The sequence below is a fragment of the Homo sapiens genome, chromosome 15 (assembly GCF_000001405.40).
Source record: "Homo sapiens chromosome 15, GRCh38.p14 Primary Assembly".
Lineage (NCBI taxonomy): Eukaryota > Metazoa > Chordata > Mammalia > Primates > Hominidae > Homo > Homo sapiens.
The window spans coordinates 26,479,159-26,502,761 of NC_000015.10; the positions used below are offsets into that span (position 1 = coordinate 26,479,159).

Here is a 23,603-nt window from a genome sequence, read left to right on the forward strand (position 1 = left end):
TTTTTTTTAATTCTATGGGTAGAATTCGTTCCTTTTAGCCCTATATTAGACAAATCACATTCTAAAACAAAGTAAAAAAGAATCTGACATAAAACAGCAGAACAGTTTCTTCTCAAAGAAAATAGGTTTTACTCCATTATGTTTCTTGAGAAGGAAACTTTCTTTCTTGCAAATCTTTGTAAAATTATCTCTCTAGGGCATGGATCAAGCTAGCATCAATGATCACCTTCATGATCAGCAACATATTTAGAGTATGACTTTGTGCCAGGTGATGTGAAATAAATATATAGAAACAGTCCCAGCCCTGGTTATCATTTATTCATTCAGTCAGTCATTTTTCAACATCTCACACAGCAGGTCCCCTCTCAACCCTCTTATGATGCCAGTGGGGCCATAGTCCAATGAAGCCAACATGTTGCAGATGCTACATCTACAGCAATGCAAATTGCCAAATACTGCAGGAATTCAGGGATGAGAGAGACCACAGTGCACATTTCCAGGGATGCTTGGACTGAGGCTATGGAACTGGAGAGTAGCCCTGAAGGGCAGGTAGGTCTTAGAAGAAAGGACTGGGAGTCAAGGTGGGGCCTCAGCACATCTGGGCTCCACTCTCTCCAAGAGGTTTTCAGCACTCTGGATAGGCTATTTTGTCTCAGACTATACTTTGGAACTAAGTCATCTTTCTCGATACAGGTTTACACAACCTCTAGGGATTTAAATTTTGGGGGATTTGTAAGTGGGACAGATGGTTGGGTGCAGTGTAATGCATTTGCTTGCCTTTCCTAGAACTTATCTTGGGGCAAGCCATCGTGGGAAGTTGAATGACCTAGAACACATCTCCAAGCCAATCTTCATCCAAACTTCTGCTCTATATCAGCACAAGGCTCCATGCTGGCACATAAAAAGCTATCAATGTAGGTTTGTTGTAATGTTTTTGAATGAAATTGTGGGCCAGAGAGAAAGACCTTTCAATGAAGCTGACTTGAAACATATTAAGACAGCATTTCTTACCCCTCCTCCCCACTTCTGAACTTCTTTACTTCAACTTTTCCAAAGCTTAATCTTGGCATCCAGTTACAGTTAATCCTATGACTGTATTCCAATGATTCTGAGGGGAAACCTTCAACTATGCATGACTTTTGGAGTGTAGGAATATACTGGTATCAGTAGAGTTAATATTCCTGGTTTAGGTTACTTTAAAGCATAAATTGCAATATAATAGTGTCATGACTACCCCAAAAGATCTTCGTAAGCTTGGTGTGAAGGAAGGTGAACAACATGCTTAGAAAAGCTTGCCCTGAAGGTGCCAGTGTGGCTAGTATGCAGGCCAGTAAGTGACACTAACTGCCTAATTGGAAGACTTCTCAAATGTGGACGTTGTTGAAAAGTTCCATGTAACATGCCTAGAGAAGGATGCTTTCCTCTACTTTCGTACACTCAAGGAGCATCTATTTACATCCAGGTCCCAGCAAAAAAATAAATTAAAGTACATATTCATACAGTAGATTTTTGTGATTACTAGAGTACAATTTCATGAGTATTATATTAAGCTAACATCCTAATAAACCATTGGGTATTTATTATTCTCTGCCCGGTGATTTTATACATAATTAGAAATATGATTCACATTTTATGACACAAGAATGCCAGGCTTAAAGAAGTATGCTTGGAATCACACAACTAATACATTGACCAACTAATGAGCAGAAAAATAAGGATCCATTTCCTCAACCATTGTTCAAAATATGTTTGTCTAGTACCTATTTTGAGTCAGGCACTGTGCCAGGCACTATAAAATGATAAAGAAAATAGACAAATTGCCCTTGATCTTAGGGACCATTGAGTAAAGGATATAGTTACGAAGCATTGCAGAAGATTTGAAGAAAAAAGTAATAAGGCTTATTGGAAAAGGGATCAATTAGCAGAACCCAATTAAACTTGAAGCAAGGGAAAGCATCTTTAAGGCAATGACACAGGTAAGTAGAAATTAGCCAGAGGAGCAGTGGATGGGGTGGGGAGAGTGTGCTCTTGAGAAACTGCAGAGAATATGTGACTAGACAGGCGATGCAGTGGCAGATGACCTAGAGATGCCACCAAACCCCCAGGTCTCCTTTGTCCTTTCTACCATGCTTCCATTGAGAAAATAAGCAGATCTCAGCAGGACCATGCTGTCTCTGGCATCACTGGAAAGATTCCGTTCTGCCTTTTCCTAGTTCCTAGTGCTTGTAGTCATTCCATGGAGTTCTTTGGCTTGAGGAACTATCACTCTAGTCTGTGCCTCTGTCATCACATGAAATTATCTCTGTGTATCTATCTGTCTGTGTCTATTTTCTCCTGTGAGGACACCAGTCACTGGACTAGGACCCATTCTAATCAAGTATGACATCATCTTAACTCATTACATGTGCAAATGTTCTGTATCCAAATGAGACCACATTCTGAGAAATATGAAAGCCACAGACCAACATTTCTTCTGAATATGGACACAAAATTCTCAACAAAGTAGCAAAAAGTGAATAGAATAATATATAAAAAGAGTTATACACCATGACCAAATTGGATTTATCTTAGGAATTCAAGATTGGTTTAATACCCACAAATCAATTAATGTAATACATTATACAAAAAGAATAAAAAACAAAAAAAAGATCCTCAATTGACACAGAAAAATCATTTTACAAAATCTGACAGCCTTTCATTATTTAAAAATACTCTACAAACTAGGAATCAAAAGGAACTTCCTCAACCGGATAAAGTCTGAAAGTCTCCAAGTTAATATCATGCTCAATGATGAAAGATTGGATATTTTCTTCTAACATCAGGAAAGAGACAATCAAGTATGTTCTCACCACTTCTATTCAACATTGTACTAGAGGTTCTAGCCACAACAGTTCAGCAAGAAAAAAAAAAAACTAAAGGAAGGAAAGAAGGAAGGACGGAAGGAAGGACGAATGAACAAGCAGATTAGAAAGGAAGAAGTAAAACTATTTATTTGCAAATGACATAATCTTGTACATAAAAAATCCTAAGACATCCACTAAAAAACTGTGGAACTAAAAAACAAGTTCAGAAAGGTGGAAAAATATAAGATTAATATGCAAATGTCAGTTGTATTTCTATATTCCTTTAATGAACAATCTAAAAATGAAATTAAGAAAGCAATTCCATTTACAATGGCACTTAAAAGAATATTTAAGAATAAATTAAACAAAATAAGTGAAAAATGTGTACTCTTAAATCTACAAAACAATGTTGAAGAAGATCTAATTGACTGGAAAAATATCTCATATTCATGAATTATATAACATTATTACTATGGCAATACTCCTTAAATTGATCTATACATTGAATATAATCCCTATTAGAATTCAAGCTGACTGCTGTATATAAATGACACGATGATTCCAAAATTCAAGTGGAATTGCAAGGGACCCAGAATATCCAAAACCATGTTGGAAAAGAAAGACAAAGTAGGAAGACTCACACTTTCCATTTTAAACATGTGCTACAAAAGCAATGGCAATTAAGACAGTGTTGCACTGGTACGAAGATAGACATAAAAATCAGTGGAAGAGAAGTGAGAGTCCAGACATAAGCCCACACAGTTATGGTCAACTGATAAGGGTGCCAAGACCATCCAAGGGAGATAGGATTATCTATTCAAAAAATTGTGCTGGAACAAGAGCCATATGCAAAAGAATGAATTTTGACCCTACCTCACACTAAATATGGCTGAAATTTTTCCAAATTTGACACAAGCTAACAGATTCAAAAAGATGAGTGATTCTCAAACAAGATAAAACCAAAGAAATTCATATGAGGACACACGCTTCTGCAAATGAAAGACAATGTGCATATATTGGAAGCAGTGAGAGAGAAATGATACCTTATCTATTGGGGGAAAAACAATCTGAGTGACAGTGGGCTTCTTATTGGAAGCAGAGAAGCTAGAAAAAAGTGGCAAAATATTTTTCAGTGCTTAAAGAAAAGACATGTCATCTCCAAATTTTATATTTGCCCAAATTATCTTTTAGGAATACAGGGAAAGTAAAGACATTTCCAGATCAAAAAAACCTAAGAGAATTTGTCACCAGCAGATCTGTAAAAGAATATCTAAGGGGAATCTTGAAACATAAACAAAATAATAAAGGAGAAAATGTGGACCATCAGGAAGGAAAGAAAAACAACAGAAAAAGCAAAAATATGACGGAGAAATACAGGCACCATCTTAATCAAGTGACCAAATTTATCAACAGTAAGTGGGTAAACCAACATCCTATACCTCCTGATAAGATAATTGGAGACAAATACAGCATTGCATCTGGGGCATTTCTGCCAAATATAAGTGTTGTGAAATAATAAGAAAATATCAAACAAACTCAAACTAAGGAGCATTTGACAAAATGTCTGACCTCTATTCTTCAAAAATTCCAAGGTCGTAAAAGACAAGGGAAGAGAAAGGCTAATGAAGGCTAAAGAAATAGTCAAGACTCATGAGATCTACGAAGAGATTGTGGCAATTCTATCACTGACATGATACTGCCACGTAATCTAATTTATGATTGTCACGCATATAATTGAGTTTTTGTATGAGAGTGTATACTTATTTTTAGGAACTCTGCACTAAAAAAAAAGGGATATTTGGGCATATCTGCAATTTACTCTCAAATAATTTTAGATAGATTAGATAGATATCTACCTAGATGTAGATATCTTTACTGATACACATATATGTGTGTATGTTTGGGAAGAGAGAGAGACACAAAAAAACATGAAGGAATTATGGTAAATATGGTAATATTTAAGTATATAGGTATTAAGAAAATGAGTTAAGTTATATAATAGTTATCTATACTAATCTTGCAACTTTTCTGTAAGTTTGAAATTATTTCAAAATAAAAACTTAAAGACAAAAAAGTAGAGAAAAGATCGGAACAGATCCCTTACCAAAGAAGATATACAGGTGGCAAGTAAGCATTTGAAAAGATGCTCAACACCATTTATCACAGTAGAAATGCAAGTTAAAACAAGAACAAAATACCACTACACACCCATTAGAATGCCTGAAATAAAAAAGAAAAAATCTGACCAGTTGTTACCTAGGATATAGAACAATAATAGAATTCATTATTGGTGGGAATGCAAAATTATATAGCTACTTTGGAAGACAGTTTGGCAGTTTCTTCCAAGGCTAAACATAGTCTTACCATGTGATCTAACAATGACAGGTATTTACCCAACTGATTTAAAAACTTATGTTGACACAAAAATCCCATACATTAATATTTATAGCAGCTTTATCTATAATCACCAAAGATTGGAAGCAACCAAGATATCCTTTCAATGGGTGAAGGATAAATAAACTAATAGAATATTATTCACTGATAAAGAGGAATAAGCTATTAATCCATGCAATAACATGTATGAGTATTAAATGTGTATTGCTAAATGAAAGAAGCCAGTCTGAAAAGGCCACATACTGTATGATTCATTCATATGACATTCTAGAAATGGCAAAACTACAGAAACAGAAAAGAGATGGGTGGTTCCTGGGGATTTAGGGAGAGAAGAGTTTTGATTATGTGAAGTACAGGAGATTTTATAGAGAGATGAGACTACTTGGTACAGTAATGCAGTAGTAGATAAACAACATTATGCATTCATCAAAACCCTTAGAACTTTACAGCACAAAGAGTGAAGCTTAATGTTTACAATTTTTTTAAGATTTTGGATAACATCTTAAAAAAAAGGGGGACCTGCATGGACTACAAACTGATAAAATAATCCAACAGTACCAGAAATGCATGTCATAACCTCACTGAAGAGGGTGAGGAAAAGTGATACTAATGTAAGTAACTTTGGAAAGGACCGGTCCGTAAGACTGAAAACAAAAGGAACTGTACAGTAGATTGTGCTAGTTGGTATGGATTTACAATATTGAAACTGCCATAAGTACATGTGTACTGGGGTTGAACAAATAAGTAACTGAATGGTGGATGGTGAGCATCAAGTTTCTCACTGTTGGAGTGAAAGGTTACAGACATGCAAGGTGAAAGGATAGAATGAGGCGTGTGGTACTGGGTTAGACTGAGACATCAGCATGAACTCATGTTAAGCTTAATATTGACCCAGATGGTTACATATAGAAATGTGTGTGTGTTTGTGTGTGTGTGTGTACATGGGTTAGTTAGTATGCACACACGTCATCTAGCTATGTTCATTGAGAAGGTCTAGAAGCAAGGACATCCCAGTACTGATGAGTGCACCAGTATGCAGATCTCAGTTTTTTGTATTACTCTCCACAAAAAGGAATAAGGACTCATTCTAGGACTGGGACAGGGAATATACAATATAAGCCTGGAGGACTTTGTAGTGCCAGGAAATAGAGAAGTACCCAAAACACAAAAGGATTGGGACATGTCAAAGGGACACTAGAGTCCACTGAAAGACTCCCAGTGGCTGAAGGTTGGACAATTTGGACCAAATAAGTAATGTAGTATTGGATTATAATCCAAAGTATAAGTTAAAAATGTATGAGCCCATACGGAGATAAATAAACTATTGAATAAATAAATAGGGGAGAAAAACAAATCTTACATAGAGAGAATTTCATATAATTTATGCAGGTATTTCCCATCAAGATGGTGGAACAGAACTCCCCAACTCTTTAGCATGGGCGGTGCGTAGTGACTGCTTCCAAAGAAGAGAATATGGGAAGGAGGAAAGTAACTTAGCAGTGGAGAAATCTGGCCAATCTCAGTTATGTGATCAAGGTTAACATGGCATATTACTAGTCTGCAGTCTTGGTATATGATGAAAATGGCACTTCACCTCTTTGGTCTTCCTCCAAAAACCCATACTGTCATCCTGTTGTAAGAAAATCATCAGACAAATCTAAACTGAAGGACATTCTGCAAAATGTTAACCCAGTACGCCTCAAAATTTTCAGAGTCATTGATAATAAGGAAAGGGAGTCACAGTCTACAGAAGCCTAAGGAGATATGATTACTAATGTAATGTGGTATCCTGGATGGGATTCTGCAGCAGAAGAATGTAATTAATTTTTGTTTTTGCTGCAGTGTGTATAATTATATTGAAAATGCTATAATAGCATATAGTAAATGAAGGAAACTGGAAATAAAAAATATTCTCAATGAAGACCAGCTGCATTACTCAACTTTAAGGCCTCTGTGCAAAACCTTAAGATGTTCCTTAACAAATCTACCAAGATGGAAAAGGCTATATAATTACAACAAACTGTTAAGTAACATTTAAGTTGCAAACTGTTGCTGACTAGACACATCATGTAACTTCGTTTTTCAGAAAAATTTCACTGGAACAAGAGAAAAAAGGTTTTTTTCTCTTTTTTAAGTGATACAGGTGGGTACTAGGACGAAGGGTGTAGGACAAGAGACAACACTAATATAATTGCAAAAGAAAAAATGGAAACTTATTTGTAGAACTAAGAAAACTGAATCCTGAGCCTGCAGCGATGACAGCCAAGAAGAAAACCTTGTGTCAGCTCAGAATTTCCAGAAATCTCAGGAATTAGAAGCACCCAGATGGCTTTGGAAATGGAAGCAGATTATGAATAGGATTAGTTAAAGGTTATTTGAGAAACTGTTACATTATCAGATATCCCTCTCCTCCACCAAAATCACACACACACACACACACATGGGCAGAGAGAGAGAGAGAGAGAGAGAGAGAGAGAGAGAGAGAGAGAGAGAGAGAGAGAGCTGCATGATCCCGGCAGAACTCCTGCAGTTTTATCCTCTCCGGAGAGTAACATAGAGGTTACTTGACACAGGCACTTGGAAAAGCTGAGGTGCAGCGAGAAGATGGGTATAATTTTAAACACAGGGATATTAAGTGAAAATTTATGTACTGAATGTGAATCCCCCAGTCCTCTTCCCCTACTTGATACGCAGAAATCTACAAGGTACTCTAACAGCTCCAAGAAGGAGATGGGAAGGGACTTCTGCAGAAATCCTTAACAGACTGAGAAGAAGAACCTACAATAAGATCAGGGGCTCCCTGATGGCACTGTCCACCCCGTTTGCAATGTGTGAAGCTCACCACTGAGCATTCCACGTGCTGATCTCCCACTCATTATCTTGGGGGCCCATCCTTAAATCAGAACACACAGAAAGAATGACTAGATTATCTTAGGGAAGCCTCTTCTATCAAAGTTAATGAGCAAAACCTACCAATGTGGAAAAGGATACTTAAAGAAAGGAGAGCGTATGCAGGGAAATAAAACTTTAGTAATTATAAAGCTATCATTACAGCATATCCATACTATACTATTATAGTATTCCTATAAAGAAAATGAAGGGGAAGATACTGCATCCAGGAAATAAGAACAGGATGTTGTTTAAACAATTATTAATTAAAAAAAGGCAATTGCCAATGTGAATGCACAATGATACAGTCACCTTGGAGGACAATTTGATATTGTCTTAAAAAAGTAAACATGCTCTTGCCATGTAATCCAGCAATCATGTTCCTTCATATCTACTCAAAGAAGCTTAAAACATGTCCACAAAAACAATCTGTACATATGTCTATAGCGGTTTTATTTATAATTGCCAACCAATATGTTCTTCAGTAGTTGAATATTTAAAAAAGTGTGGAACATTCAGACAATGGAATATTATCCAGCACTAGAAACTAAGCTATGAAAAACAAGGAGGAAACTTAAATGTGTATTTGTAAGTAAAAGTAGCCAATTTGAAAAGGCCACGTACTGTATCATGGCAACTATATAAGATTGTGGGGAACGCAAAACTATGGAGACTGTAAAAAGATCAGTGTTTGACAGGGATTGGTGGGGAATGAGTGATGAATAGGTGGAGCACAGAGGATTTTAAGGGCAGTGCCATATTCTTCACGATACTGTAATGATGGATACTTGTCCATATAATTTGTCCAAACCCACAGAATGTACAAGACTGAACCCTCGTGTAAACTATGGACTTTGATGGATAACCATGTAAACGATGGACTTGTATGGATTATGATGTGCCAACGTAGGTTCATCAATTGTAATAAACGTACCCCTTTGCTGGGGGATGTTGATAGTGAGGGAGGCTTGTGGAGGGCAGGGAAGGTATATGTGAACTCTCTGTACCTTACCTTCAATTTTGCCATGAACTTAAAACCACACTAAAAAAATAAAGGAAGGCCAGGCATGGTGGCTTATGCCTGTAATCCCAGCACTTTGGGAGGACGAGGCCGGTGGATCACTTGAGGTCAGGAGTTTGAGACCAGCCTGGTCAACATGGCAAAACCCCGTCTCTACTAAAAACACAAAAATTAGCCAGTCGTGGTGGGTGCCTGTAACGCCAACTACTAGGGAGGCTGAGGTAGGAGAATCGCTTAAACCTAGGAGGTGGAGGTTGTAGTGAGCCAAGATCGTGCCACTGCACTCCAGCCTGGGCAACAGAGTGAGACTCCAAAAAAAAAAAAGAAAGGTAAGAAGAAGTTCTGATAAACAAAAACTAAGATAAGATGTGTGCAAAATTCAGTAAATATGTTGGAAGATAAGATTAGAAAAGTTCCCAAACATAGAACAAAAAGTCAAATATGTGAGTAATAAGAAAGAAAAGATATAAAAAATAGAGAATCAGCTCAGGAGATCCAATACTCAAAACTCAAAAAAGACTTTCAGAAAGAGCACAACACATTAAGAGAGTAAAAAATGATCTTTAAAATCTTCAAGGAAGTTTTCCAAAATTGAAGGACATAAATTTCAAATTTAAAAAGTGGATAGAGTAGCCAACACAATACATTTTTTAAATAAAATCAAGCCTAACATTGTGAAATATCACAATTCTGAGAACAAGTATATCTGAAGGTTTAAAGGAAGAAAAACTGTCAGATATGAAAGATTGAGATTCAAATGTCTTTGTATTTCTCAGTAGCAAAATTGTAAGCTGGAAGCAATGAAACAAAACTTTTAAAGTTCTGATGAGAAATTATTTCCAATCTTTTTTTTTTTTTTTTGAGACGGAGTCTCGCTCTGTCGCCCAGGCTGGAGTGCAGTGGCGCAGTCTCGGCTCACTGCAAGCTCCGCCTCCCGGGTTCACGCCATTCTCCTGCCTCAGCCTCTCCGAGTAGCTGGGACTATAGGCGCCCGCCACCACGCCCGGCTAATTTTTTTTTATTTTTAGTAGAGACCGTGGTCTCGATCTCCTGACCTCGTGATCCACCCGCCTCGGCCTCCCAAAGTGCTGGGATTACAAGCGTGAGCCACCGCGCCCGGCCAATTATTTCCAATCTTAAACCTAGAAAAAAGTTCTATTAAATGGGAGGATTGTATAGACGTGCCTCTCTTCTACCTTTTCTCAGGAAGCTGCCTGACGAGGAGCTGTACGGAAATAAGAGTAATTCAGTGATGGGGTCCAAGCATCCTGAATATAAGCGGTCCATGTCAAGAAAGAGCCAAAGGGCGTCCTCAGGACATGGAAGAGGGGCATTCCAGGCTGGCAGCTGGGGAGGCCCAGAGAGCCCTGGAGAAGATCTGAAGTCCATTGCAGAGCTTTCTTTAAGACTACTGAATTGTACAGAAGAAGCAGAAATGAAAAAAAAATTAAAAATATAGAAATGATGTATTTTAATGAGATTTAAACATCTAGGGGAGAGTTTGGGGTGGGAATGCTGATAAGTTCATAGAAAAGTAAGCAAATGAAAACAAGACAAAAATAATAAAAGCAAAAAGGAAAAGTAATTGCACTGTGCTAGTAGATTCAGCTCTGAATAATATTTCATAATAGTAATATGTAAACAGTAAATACTGATTTAAACTAAAATGTTATAATTATACTGAGAGTATTGAAGATGAGGAAATACTGTGTGTGTGTGTGTGTGTGTGTGTGTGTGTGTGTGTGTGTGTGTGTGTGGTGTATTGAAAGCAACAGGAACAAGAGATAAAATCTCTTCTCATAATGTCAAAAACTGAAAAAATGAAGAAGTGGCAATATGATTATCTATCTAGAAATATAAAAATAGAAACCAAAACAAACACTTCAAAATGTCAAAGGCTCTGTTGAAGAGGATTTGGGAAGGTGTTGGAGAGTACTTTTTCAATAATAAACTTTGAAAAATTGATTCTTTTAAAGTATTGAGATGCATTACATGAAGGAAGGTGAAAACTAAAATAGAAAGACTTCTAATGCCTTGCAGTGTTCCTTAGATAATGCTCCTGAGTGAGGTCCCATCACTCTGCAATTGCACAGCCCTCCAAAAGAAAAGGGACTGCTTTCCCAGAAGCAGTCCATCTGGAGCCCAGGCGAGGGCACTAAGGCTTTTTCTCTCCCTCATTTTTTTTTTTTTTTTGAGACACAGTCTTTGCTCTGTCGCCCAGGCTGGAGTGCAGTGGTGCAATCTTGGCCCACCGTAACTTCTGCCTCCCGGGTTCTAAGTGATTCTCCTGCCTCAGCCTTCAGAGTAGCCGGGATTACAGGTGCATGCCACCACGTCCAGCTAATTTTGTATTTTTAGTAGAGACAGGGTTTCACCATGTTGGCCAGGCTGGTCTCATATTCCTGGCCTCAGGTGACCCACTCACCTTGGCCTCCCAAAGTGCTGGGATTACAGGTGTAAACCACTGCACCCAGCCTTTTCTCTCTCTTTCACGCCACACCAAATCCTGACTCCTAGAAGGATACCCAGTGTATGGTTAACATATTGGTGGTTGCAACAGACAAATCCTTTACTCCATTATGAAGACAATCACCTTTTCTCCCAAGCTAGTGCCTTCCTTTATATACACCATCATATTCATTTTCACTATAATTTATTAAGGGATATTTTTAATGCACAATCATATATCATCATGGAATAGTGGAAGGTGTAACTAGAAATCAGAATATGAACTTCTATAATGGCTTACTGTGGTTGTCAGTCAGAAGGGTTAAGCTTATACTGCTCTAACAAAGTGCTCTAACAAACTATTTCACAATCTCATTGCTTTAATACATAAACATCTATTTTTCTCTCAAAGTATCCTCTAAAGGAACAGGGAAATTGGAGAATCACGAAAGATTGTTTCACTACTTCAGTTCAAAATTGTCTCTTTTGCAAAATTAAGGGATTAAACTAGCCAGTCACTGGTTTGCAAAAACATCCAGCTCTTTCTATCAACCTCTCTTCTCCTCTTACAGACTCTGGGATATGTCAGAGATGATGATGTTGATGATGATGGGCATTGTCACAAAGAATATAACAACTATAACAATCTGTTTGGCTCTTACTAGATGCCAGGTGCTGTTATGAGCCTTAGATACATTTGATCACAAGAGCATCATGATCAGACGAATACTGTTAGGAAATAAAAAAGCAAAGGCTCTGATCCTTTTCCAGAACCTGCTCGACATAAATTTTCATTTTGCATTTCAGTTAATGACAACTCCATATTTCCAGCTGCTCAAACCAAAATCTCAATTCAATGTTTCTCTTGCCCCACATCTCATCCAGCAAGAAGTGAGGTGCTGCTGGCTCTAAATCAAAATACCTAAAATACCCAGCTCTCTGTGATCACCTCCTTCACTGCCACCTTAACCTGAACTGCCCTCATCTTTTGCCCGGGTTGCTGCAGTCCCCTAACTGGTCAACCAACATTTACCCTTGCCACCATACAGTCCATTCTCAATGCAGCAACCAATGTGATACCTAAAAACCTACATCAGATCTGACCATTCCTCTGCTGATAACCTCTGGGTTTACAATGACCTGTAGGGCCCTAAGTTATTTGGCCTTAGGTGGTCCTGTCTCTCATCCTGCCTGTTGGGCCTCGTCTCCTGCACCTTATCCTCTAGTCAAGTTGATCTTTGTCATGGTCCTGGAGCACACAGTCTCTCTTAAGCCTAAGGACTTTCTCTTCCTTGAATGCACTTTATCCAGATGTTTGGCAGTCAACTTCTGTTACAAACTGAATGTTTTTATCCCCCCAAATTCATATGTTGAAGCCCTAATCCATGATAGGACTCATGATGAGAGATTGGTGCCCTTATTAGAAGAAGACAGATCTCTCTCCACATGAAGAAACCCCATGTGGGCACACAGTGACCTGGTGACCATCTGCAAGCCAAAGAGTGGGTCCTCACCAAGAACCAAATAAGTCGTCATATTGATCTTGGACTTTCCAGCCTCCAGAACTGTAAGAAACATATGTCTGTTATTTAAGCCACCCAGCCTATGGTATTTCGTTATAGCGGCCCAAATCAATGAAGACAAGTTCTTTACCCCCTCAAGTCTTTGCTCAAATGTTGCCTTTTCAATGAGACTCATCTTAATCTCTCTATTTAATTTTGCATTTTGAGGCTCATCTTAATCTCTCTATTTAATTTTGCATTTTGATCTCCATCAATCTTCCCATTGTCTCCTGCATTTCTTTTTCCTTTCTTCCTGCTGAATTTTACTCATAGCACTTTGCACCTTCTTTCAAGGTAGAGACATTACTTATTTATTATAACACTGTTTATGCTCCCACACTAGAATGCAAGCTCCAGAAGTGACTGGATATTGGTCTGTTTGCTCACAATTAGTCACCACACTTCCAGAAATGAGCCTAGCACTTAATAAGTGCTCGATACCAGCACCTATATTGAAGTTTTTAATACCATTCTCCAACAGAAGAAACTGGGGCTCCTTAGAGAAGTGGTTGATTCCAGGACTGGGACAGCAAAAATACAAGATGAGCTTTGGAAGACCTTGTGGTTCCATAAAGGAAGGAAGTGCTCAAAAAATGATGGTGGCATGTGGAAAGGACTGAGGGGCCAACTTGCAAACGTTCCCAATGGCCAAAGTTGAAACACTCTGATCAAGAAAACAAATAACCATAGCAGGCCATAAGATAAAATAAGAAATATGCTTAATACTGATATACAAAAAAGATTGGATAAATAAGAAGAGATAGCTTTTCCTTACAGAAGAATTCCAGTTAACAAATGTAGAAAGAGTGAGGAAGACACAAAAGTATCATTAAGCAAACACAACAGTGAAATTGTAAGCAAGATCCACTAACAGATGCCAAAATCTATGGAAAAAAAGGAAAAACTAGATATTTGCATAGTTTCAAAGTATCTCTCCCAAAATATTTATTAATTACAAAGAGAAAAATAGTAATGTTATAGTGAAGAAACCTAGCAGACACCATCCTAGCCAAGTGAGCAAGATATAATCAGACATAGATTATCTGATATGATGCACGGAGAAAAGCACAACACAGTTGTCATATTCTTGAACAAACCAAAAGGGGCAACCTCAATCCAGCCACGAGAAAACATAAATAAACCCAAATTGTCAAATTGTCATCAGTCATGAGAGACCAGGGAAGACTGAGGAGCCGTTTCAGATGGGAGGAGACAAGAAGACAAGACAACTAAAGGCAGTATGAGGCCCTGGTTGGACCCTGGGACAGAAGAACATTATGCAACGCTGGCAAGGTGTGAATAAAGTATGGAGTTTAGTAATTAGTGATGTACTCTGTTAGTTTTGCTAGATTTACCATGGTCATGTACGATAACATTTGGGAGAGCTGAGCAAAGGTATACAGGAACTTGCTGTACTATCTTTGCAACTTTCTGTAAATCTAAAGCTATTTCAAAAAAAAATTTTTAAATAGGTACATAATAAGCATGTGTTAATGAATGTTCTCATTTATAAAATTTAAAAGTTGAATTTTAGATCTCTCAAATGTTTGATAAATCCATGAAAAAATTACAACATATTATTTTATCAAAAAGAATATTAGGAGAATCAATCAGTCTGCAGAAAATCAGTAAGCACTGTCAGTATAAAATACAGTCAGTAATTGACAGTCTATCAAAATAATTTTACATAGTAGACAGCATTTCTGATTGATTAGTCTAAGATGAGCAGCTACTTTGACAGTAAAAAGACAAATAAATTGAATAAATCCATAGCTAGCCAAAAGGTTAACAGAATACACATGCTTGGGTAGTGAAATAACATACATTATGAATATAGGAACATTTTGAAAATCATATTATCATCTCAGAGCTAGAAAAGTGTAGCTTGGTGGCTCTGGAAGTACTTAATTGCTTAATGATAGCATTCTACAAAAACCACATAGTTTTCACTTGTAAAACAAGCTGGTCTAGATATGTTGAGAAAGAGGAGAGATGGCATGTACTGAAAGTTGCAGTGTTTTGGATTTGAGTCAGGATGTGGAATGGGAAGAGTTTCTTCTATATTTTCTACATACAGCAAGAGTCAGCTTGGGAAGATGGCATGGTGGGTGTTCATTTGGTTCTGACAAGCCTCAACTGTTTTTGAATACTCCAGATTGCCAGTAACACATCTGCTAACTGTTTGCTTCTTTGGGGACTTAGTGTTGAACAATCTATTAAGTTGCAAATGTTTCATTTTTAACCTTAAGATGTTAAAACCATTGAAATTCCCAATTCTACTTTACTTTTTCTCAAAATATTTGATAATTTGAATTTTCACAAAGTTTCAGCACACTTACCATTCTAAGTAGGCCTTTCTATTTGTATAATCCTTTACATTTGTTAGAATTTATAGCCTAGTAGACATAAATTCAGTAACATATGGGGGAAATTTGTTAGGAGAGGCCAAGAGATAACTTAAAGACATCGCAGGAAAAAAATCCTTCATGTCTGTACACAGTGAATCTGGATCCTCAAATTCCTGAGGATTCTTGACCTACACTACCTAACTTAAAACGACTTTCCTCATTCAAGTGATTAAAGTTAGTAAAGAAGAATTTTGAAATTTTACCTCTTATGCTATATAATATTGAAACAGGTAATCTTGACAAATACAGCACAATCTTTCACAACATAAAACTAAATATAACCCTTTATTTCTTCTTCATTTTACAGACGCTCACAGACATTGGGGTTTCACTACGAGACATATGTATACATAATATTAACAATTCTAAAATATATTTATTTATTACTTATGTGCACCAAAGTAGCTACTCGATATACATAATCTTATTATCCTCACAACATTGTTTAGATAAAGAAACTGGGGTTGTAAAGGTTCAGTACCCAGCGCAAGGTAGCAATCCTAGATTCATGTGGTATTTGCCCTTCTATGCATGGCTTATTTCACTTAACATAATGACCTCCATTTCCATCAATGTTGCAAATAACAATCTCATTCATTTTTGCAGCTGAATAGTACCCCATTGTGTATTAGTACCACATTTTCTTTATACATTTATCTGTTGATGAACACAGGTTACTTCCAAATCTTGGATATTGTAAACAGTGCTGCAGTGAACATGAGAGTGCAGATATCTCTTCTATATACTGATTTCCTTTGAGTATATACCCAGTGGTGGAATTGCTGGATCATATGGTAGTTCTATTTTTAGTTTTTTGAAGAACCTCCAAACTGTTCTCCATAGTGGTTGTGCTAATTTACATTCCCAAAAACAGTGTATGAGGGTTCCCTTTTCTCCACATCCTTGCCAGCTTTTATTATTGCCTGTCTTTTGGGTATAAGCCATTTTAACTGGGGTGAGATCATATCTCATTGTAGTTTTGATTTGCATTTCCTAATGATCAGTGATGTTGAGTACCTCTTCATATGCCTGTTTGCCATCTGTATGTCTTCTTTTGAAAAATGTCTATTCAAATATTTTGTCATTTTTTAATTAATTTTTTTTCTATAGAGTTGTTTGAGCTCCTTATATATTCTGGTCATTAATATCTTGTCAGAACAGTGGTTTGCAAATATTTTCTCCCATTCTATAAATTGTGTTGTCACCTTGTTGATTGTATCCTTTGCTGTGCAGAAGCCTTTTAATTTGATGTGATCTTATTTCTGCATTTTTGCTTTAGTTGTCCGGCCTATGGGGCATTACCCAAGAAATTTTTTCCCAGATCAGTATCCTGGAGAGTTTCCCCAATGTTTTCCTGTGGTAGTTTCATAGTTTGAGGCTTTAAGTTTTCAATCCATTTTGATTTAATTTTTGCATATGGTGAGAAATAGGGATCTGGTTTCATTCTTCTGCATGTGAGTGTTCAGTTTTCCCAGCACCATTTACTGAAGAGACTGCCTTTCTCCAGTGTATGTTCTTGGCATCTTTGTAAAAAATGAGTTCCCTGTAGGTGTGTGGGTTTATTTCTGGGTTCTATATTCTATTCTATTTGTCTGTTTTTATGCCAGTACTATGCTGTTTTGCTTACTCTACCTCCATAGTATAATTTGAAGTCAGGTAATGTGATTTCTCCAATTTTGTTCTTTTTGCTTAGGATAGCTTTGGCTATTTTGGGTCTCTTATGATTCCATATAAATTTTAGGAATTTTTTTCTATTTCCGTGAATACTGTCATTGGTATTTCAATTGAGATTGCATTAAGTCTGCAGACTGCTTTGGTAGTGTGGACACGTTAACAATATTGAGTCTTCCAATCCATGAACATGGAATATCTTTCCATTTTTGTGTCCTCTTCAATTTCTTTCATCAGTGTTTTATAGTTTTCATTTTATAGATCTTTTACTTCTTTGGTTAATTCTGAGTATTTTTAATTGTGGCTATTGTAAATGGAATTACTTTTTAATTTCTTTTTCAGATTGTTCACTGTTGGCATATAGAAATGCTACTGACTTTTTGTATGTTGATTTTGTATCCTGAAACTGTAGTGAATTTGTTCATCAGTTCTAATTTTTTTTGTGTGTGGAGTCTTGAGGTTTTTCCAGATATAAGATCATATCACATGCTAACAAGGATAATTTGACTTCTTCCTTTCCAATATGTATGCCCCTTATTTCTGTTTGATTCCTCTAGCTAGGACCTCCAGCACTATGTTGAGTAACAGCGGTGAAAGTGGGAATCCTTGTTGTGTTCCAGGTCTTAGAGGAAAGGCTTTCAGTTTTTCCCCATTCAGTATGATACTAAATGTTTGTCTGTCATATATGGGTTTTATTATATTGAGGTTTGTTCCTTCTATACCCAGATTTTTGAGGGTTTTTATCATGAAGGGATGTTGAATTTTATTCAATGCTTTTTAAGCATCAATTGAAATGATAATATGGTTTTTGTCCTTCATCCTGTTGATATATCAAATTGATTGATTTGCATATGCCGAACCATTCTTGCATCCCAGAGATAAATCCCATTTGTTCATGATGAATGATCTTTTTAACGTATTGTTGAATTTAGTTTGCTAGTATTTTGTTGAGAATTTTTGTTATCAATATTCATCAGAGATATTGGCCTATAATTTTTTCTCATGTGTCTGTCTGGTTTTGGTATCGCAAAAGCACTGGCCTTGTAGAATTACTCTGGAAGTATTCTATCCTCTTCTATTTTAAAAAATAGTATGAGTAGGATTGGTATTAGTTCTTCTTTAAATGTTTTGTAGATTTCAGCAGTTAAGTCATTGGATCCTGGGGTTTTCTTTACTGGGAGACTTATTACAGCTTCAATCTCATTTCTTGTTACTATTCTATTCAGATTTTTGATTTCTTCATGGTTCAATCTTGGTAGGTTGTATGAGTCTAGGAATTTGTCCATTTAGTCTAAGTTTTCCAGTTTTTTGGCATATAGTTGCTCAGAGTAGCCACTAATGATCCTTTAAATTTTTGCAGTAACAGTTGTAATATCTCTTTTTCATCTCTGATTTTATTTGGATCTTCTCTCTTTTTTCTTAGTCTGGCTAAAGGTTGTCTATTTTGTTTAATTTTTCAGAAAACCAACTTTTGTTTCATTGATCTTTTGTATTGTTTTATTTCAATTTCATTCATTTCTTATCATTATTATTTCTTTTATTCTACTAATTTTGGGTTTGGTTTGCTCTTGCTTTTCTAGTTCATTAAGATGTGTCATTAGGCTGTTTATTTGAAGTCTTATTCTTTTTTAAAGTAGGCACTTATAGCTACAAACTTCCCTCTTAGTACTGATTTTGCTATATCCCATAGGTTTTAGTATGTTGTGTTTCCATTATCATTTGTTTCAAGAAGTTTTTCAATTTTCTTCTTAATTTCTTTATTGACCCACTGGTCACTCAGGAGCATATTATTTTATTTCCATGTATTTGTATAGTTTCCAAAATTCTTCTTATTGATTTCTAGTTTTATTCCATTGTGATCAAAGATGCCTCATATCATTTCAATTTTTTAAGATGTTTTCAGACTTGTTTTCTGACCTAACATATAATCTATCCTTGAGAATGGCAGAACAATCCATATGCTGAGAAAAAGAAGGTGTATTCTGCAGCTGTTAGATGAAATGCTCCATAAATATCTATTAGGCCCATTTGTTCTATGGTGCAGATTAAGTCCAATATTTCTTTGTTGATTTTCTATCTGGAAGATCTGTCCAATGCTGAAAGTGGCATGTTGATGATGTCTCCAGCTATTATTGTACTGGGTCTTATTTCTCTCTTTAGTTCTAATAATATTTCCTTTATAATATATCCGGGAGTTCCAGTGTTGGGTGTATATGCATTTAAACTTCTCATATCCTCTTGTTGAATTGACCACTTCATTATTTTATAGTGATATTCTTTGTCTCTTCTTACATGTTTTGTCTTAAAATCTATTTTGTCTGATATGAGTATAGCTACTCCTGCTCTTTGATGGTTTTCATTGGCATGGAATATCATTGTCCATCCTTTTATTTTCATTCTATGTGTGTCTTTTTAGGTGAATTGCATTTATTGCAGGTAACCAATCATTGAGTCTTTTTTTTTTATCCATTTAGCCACTCTGTGTCTTTTGATTGGAGAGTTTAGTCCATTTACATTCAATGTTATTATCCATCAGTAAGGATTTACTCTTGCCATCTTGTTGTTTTCTGGTTGTTTTGTGCTCTTCTCTTCCTTCTTTCTTCCTTTCCTGTCTTCTTTAGTGAAGGTGATTTTGCCTGGTGACATGATTTATTCTCTTGCTTCTTATCTTTTTGTGTATCCTTTGTATGTTGTTTGATTTGAGGTTACCATGAAGCTTGCAAATTTTATCCTACAACTCATTTTAACCTCATAACAACACTGTTTGCCAAAACAAATCAGCAAAAAGAAAATGAATAAAGCCTCTGTGCCTTAAATTCAGCCCTCTGCTTTTTAACTTTTTGTTGTTTCTATTCAAATATTATTGTACTATGTCTTGAGAAGTTGTAGTTATTATTTTTATTGGTTTATCATTTACTACTTTCTACTTAAGTCAAGAGTACTTTACAAACCATAGTTACAGTGCTATAAAATTATGTGTTTCTCTGTATATTTACTATTACTAGTGAGTTTTATTCCTCAGATTATTTCTTCTTGCTCATTAACATTCTTTTCTTTCTGATTGAAGAACTTCCTTTAGCATTTCTTGTAGGACAGGTCTGGTGTTCATGAAATTGCTCAGCTTTTGTTTGTCTGGAAAAGTCTTTATTTTTCCTTCATGTTTGAAAACTATTTTTGCTGGATATACTATTCTAGAGTAAAAGTTTCTTCCTTGAGCATTTTAAATATGTCATGCCACTCTCTCCTGGCATGTAAGTTTCCACTAAAAAGTCTGCTGCCAGATGTACTGGAGCTCCTTTATACGTTTTTTTTTTTTTCTTGCTGCTTTTAAAATCCTCTCTTTATCATTGACCTTTGGGAGTTTGACTATTAAATACTTTGCAGCAGTCTTCTTGGGTTAAATCTGCTTGGTGTTCTATAACCTTCTCGAATGTTGGTATCTTTCTCTAGGTTTGGGGAGTTCTCGGATGTTATCCCTTTGAATAAACTTTCCACCACTATCTTTCTCTACCTCTCTACCTCTCCTTTAGGGCCAGTAACTTTTAGATTTGCTCTGTTGAGGCTATTTTCTAAGCTCCTGTAGGCATGCTTCATTGCTTTTTATTCTTTTTTCTTCTGTCTCCTCTGACTGTGTATTTTCAAAGAGTCTATCTTGAAATTCACTTTTTTTTTTGCTGTATCAGTTCTGCTATTTAAAGACTGATACATTCTTCAGTACGACAACTACATTTTTCAGCTCCAGAATTTCTGCTTGATTCTTTTTAATTATTTCAATCTTTTTGTTAAATTGACCTGACAGAATTCTGAATTCTTTCTCTATGTTATCTTGAATTTCCTTGAGTTTTCTTAAAACAGCTATTCTGAATACTCTGTCTGAAAGATCACATATCACTGTTTCTCCAGGATTTGTCCCTGGTGACTTACTTAGTTCATCTGGTGAGGTCATGTTTTTCTGGGTGGTCTTGATACTTGTAGATGTCTGTCTGTGTCTGGGCATTGAAGAATTATTTATTTTAGTCTTCACAGTCTGGGCTTGTTTGTACCCATCCTTCTTGGGAAGTCTTTCCAGATATTCTAAAGGGCTTAGGTGTGGTGATCTAAGCTGTATCTGCTTTAGGGGGTACCCAAAGCCCGCTAATGCTACTGTTTTTGCAGACTTACAGAAGTACTGCCTTCATTGTCTTAGACAAGATCCAGCAGAATTCTCTGGATTACCAAGCAGAGACTCCTGTTCTCTTCCCTTTCTCTCTCTCTCTCTTATTCTCTCTCTCTCTGTTCTGAGCCACCTGGAGCTGGGAATGGAGTGACACAAGCACTCCAGTGGCCACCACCACTGGGACCGTGCTGGGTTAGACCTGAAGCCAGCACAGCACTGGGTCTCATCCAAGGCCCCCTATAACCACTCCCTGGCTACTGCCTATGTTTGTTCAAAGCCCTGGGGGCTCTACACTTAGCAGGTGGCAAAGCCAGGCAGGCCTGTGTCCTTCCCTTCAGAGTGGTGAGATCCCTCATGTCCTGAGTGGGTCCAGACATGCCATCTGGGAGCCAGGAACCAGAGTAAAAAACTTTGGAAGTCTTCATGGTGTTCTATTGTGCTGAGGCTGAGCTAGCCCTCAAACCACAAGATGCTGTCTTTTCCATTATTCCCTTCCCTTTCCAAAGGCAGAGGAGCCTTACCTCCTGGCCACCACCACTATAGGCCCACAGGAAGTACTGCTAGACTACTGCTAGTGTTCCCTTAAGGCCCAAGGTCTCTTAAGTCAGCTTGTGATGAATGCTGTCTGGGCTGGGACTCATCCTTCGGGGCAGAAGGCTCCTCTCTGGCCTAGCACAGTCCCAGAAATGCCATTCAAGAGCCACATCCTATAATCAGGGACCCAAGAGCCTGCCTCTTGCTCTACCCCCGTGTGGCCATGCTGGTCTCTAAAATGCAAGACAAAGTCTCTTTTACTTTTCTCTCTGCTTTTCTCAAGCAGAAAGATTCTTGCCACATAGCCACCACAGCTGGTAATGTATTGAGTCTCACCTGAAGCCAGCAAGTGTCAGAGGCTCACCCAAGGCCCTTGACACAGTACCTGAGTATTGCTGATGGTTATTCAGGGCTCAGGTACTATTCAGTTAGCAGGTGATTAATCGTGCTAGGAATGGGTCCTTCCCTTCAAGGAAGCAGTTTTCCCTCCGGCTCAGGATATGTCTAGAAATGTCTTCTGGGAGCTAGGACCTGAACCAGGGGCCTCATGACTCTGACCAGTACCCTATCATGCTGTGGCTGAGCTGATAGCCAAGATGCAAGACAAAATCCTCCCCTGTCTTCCTTCTCCTCTCCTCAAGTGGAAGCAAGGCGACTCTTTCGGAGCCGTGAGCTGTGTAGCCTGAGATTAGGGGAGGGGTGATGCCAGCACTCTCTTAGCTACCCTGACCAGTGTCTCAGTAGGTTGCGTGCCCCCACCCCTCCACTAGCTCTGGGCCTGGTTCAGCCCTAGGACTCACCTAGTCCTTGTGGCCTAGACTACTTTTCCAGTTTATTTAGCACCCCAGAGCACTTTAGCTCACAGTGATGAGGCTTGTACAAACTGAAGTTACAACCACTGAGATCAACAACTCCCCTTTGACTAGGGCTAATTTAAATGCTACCTCCTTGGGCAGGCAACAGCTGAGTTTGGTCCAGTTTTACTTTCTGCTGTAATAAGGCAGCACTGAGTTCAATGCCTCACAATTGCTGTGCTCTCCCTCTCTCACAACCACACAAAAATGCTCTCTGCATCATGCCGCTGCGGCTGGGGGATGGGAGGGAGTGACATTGGTGATTCAAGATTGTTTTTTCTACTTCTTCAGTGCATCTTTTAGCAGTATAAAGTTAAAAACAGGTACTGTGAGTGCTCACCTGATTTTTGGTTCTTATGAAGTTACGTTTTTGTACAGATAGTTAAATTCGTGTTTTTGCAGGGAGGACAATTGGTGGAGCCTTCTATTCCACTGTCTTGCTCTGCCCCTTCCTCTTCTTGTTTATTTTTATTTGTTAGCAGGCAATAGGTAAATATGAGCTCAAATCATTAATTAGAAAAAAAAAGTCAATCTATGTATTTATATCAGAAATTCTGACTTTGTGACAATTATGTTCTAACAAAGTACTCTATAATAGTCATCGGGATTGAGTGAAGAATACTTGCATTTCACTTGATTTTACTGATTTTATGTGCCAAGATATCTGACAAATAGAAAAAGTGGGAAAGTAAAGCAAGATCATGTAAATGTTTCAGTGAACAGGAAACTTAAAAAAACCATGAAGAAAAAATTAAGAATGCATAAATCTAAAAATGAGAAGAATGAGCAGGGCCGACAGTTTTCAGTGCCATGTTACCATCTA

General features: G+C 37.4%; 1 long non-coding RNA gene across 1 annotated transcript in view; it reads left to right on the forward strand.

The window, feature by feature from the left end:
* LINC02248 (long intergenic non-protein coding RNA 2248) overlaps positions 1–10,715 on the forward strand; it is a 94,817-nt gene extending 84,102 nt beyond the window's left edge. The window contains exon 6 of the long non-coding RNA XR_001751453.2: positions 10,354–10,715. This is a non-coding gene — a long non-coding RNA (long intergenic non-protein coding RNA 2248). The remainder of the gene's footprint in view (positions 1–10,353) is intronic.
* Positions 10,716–23,603: the final 12,888 nt, after the last annotated feature.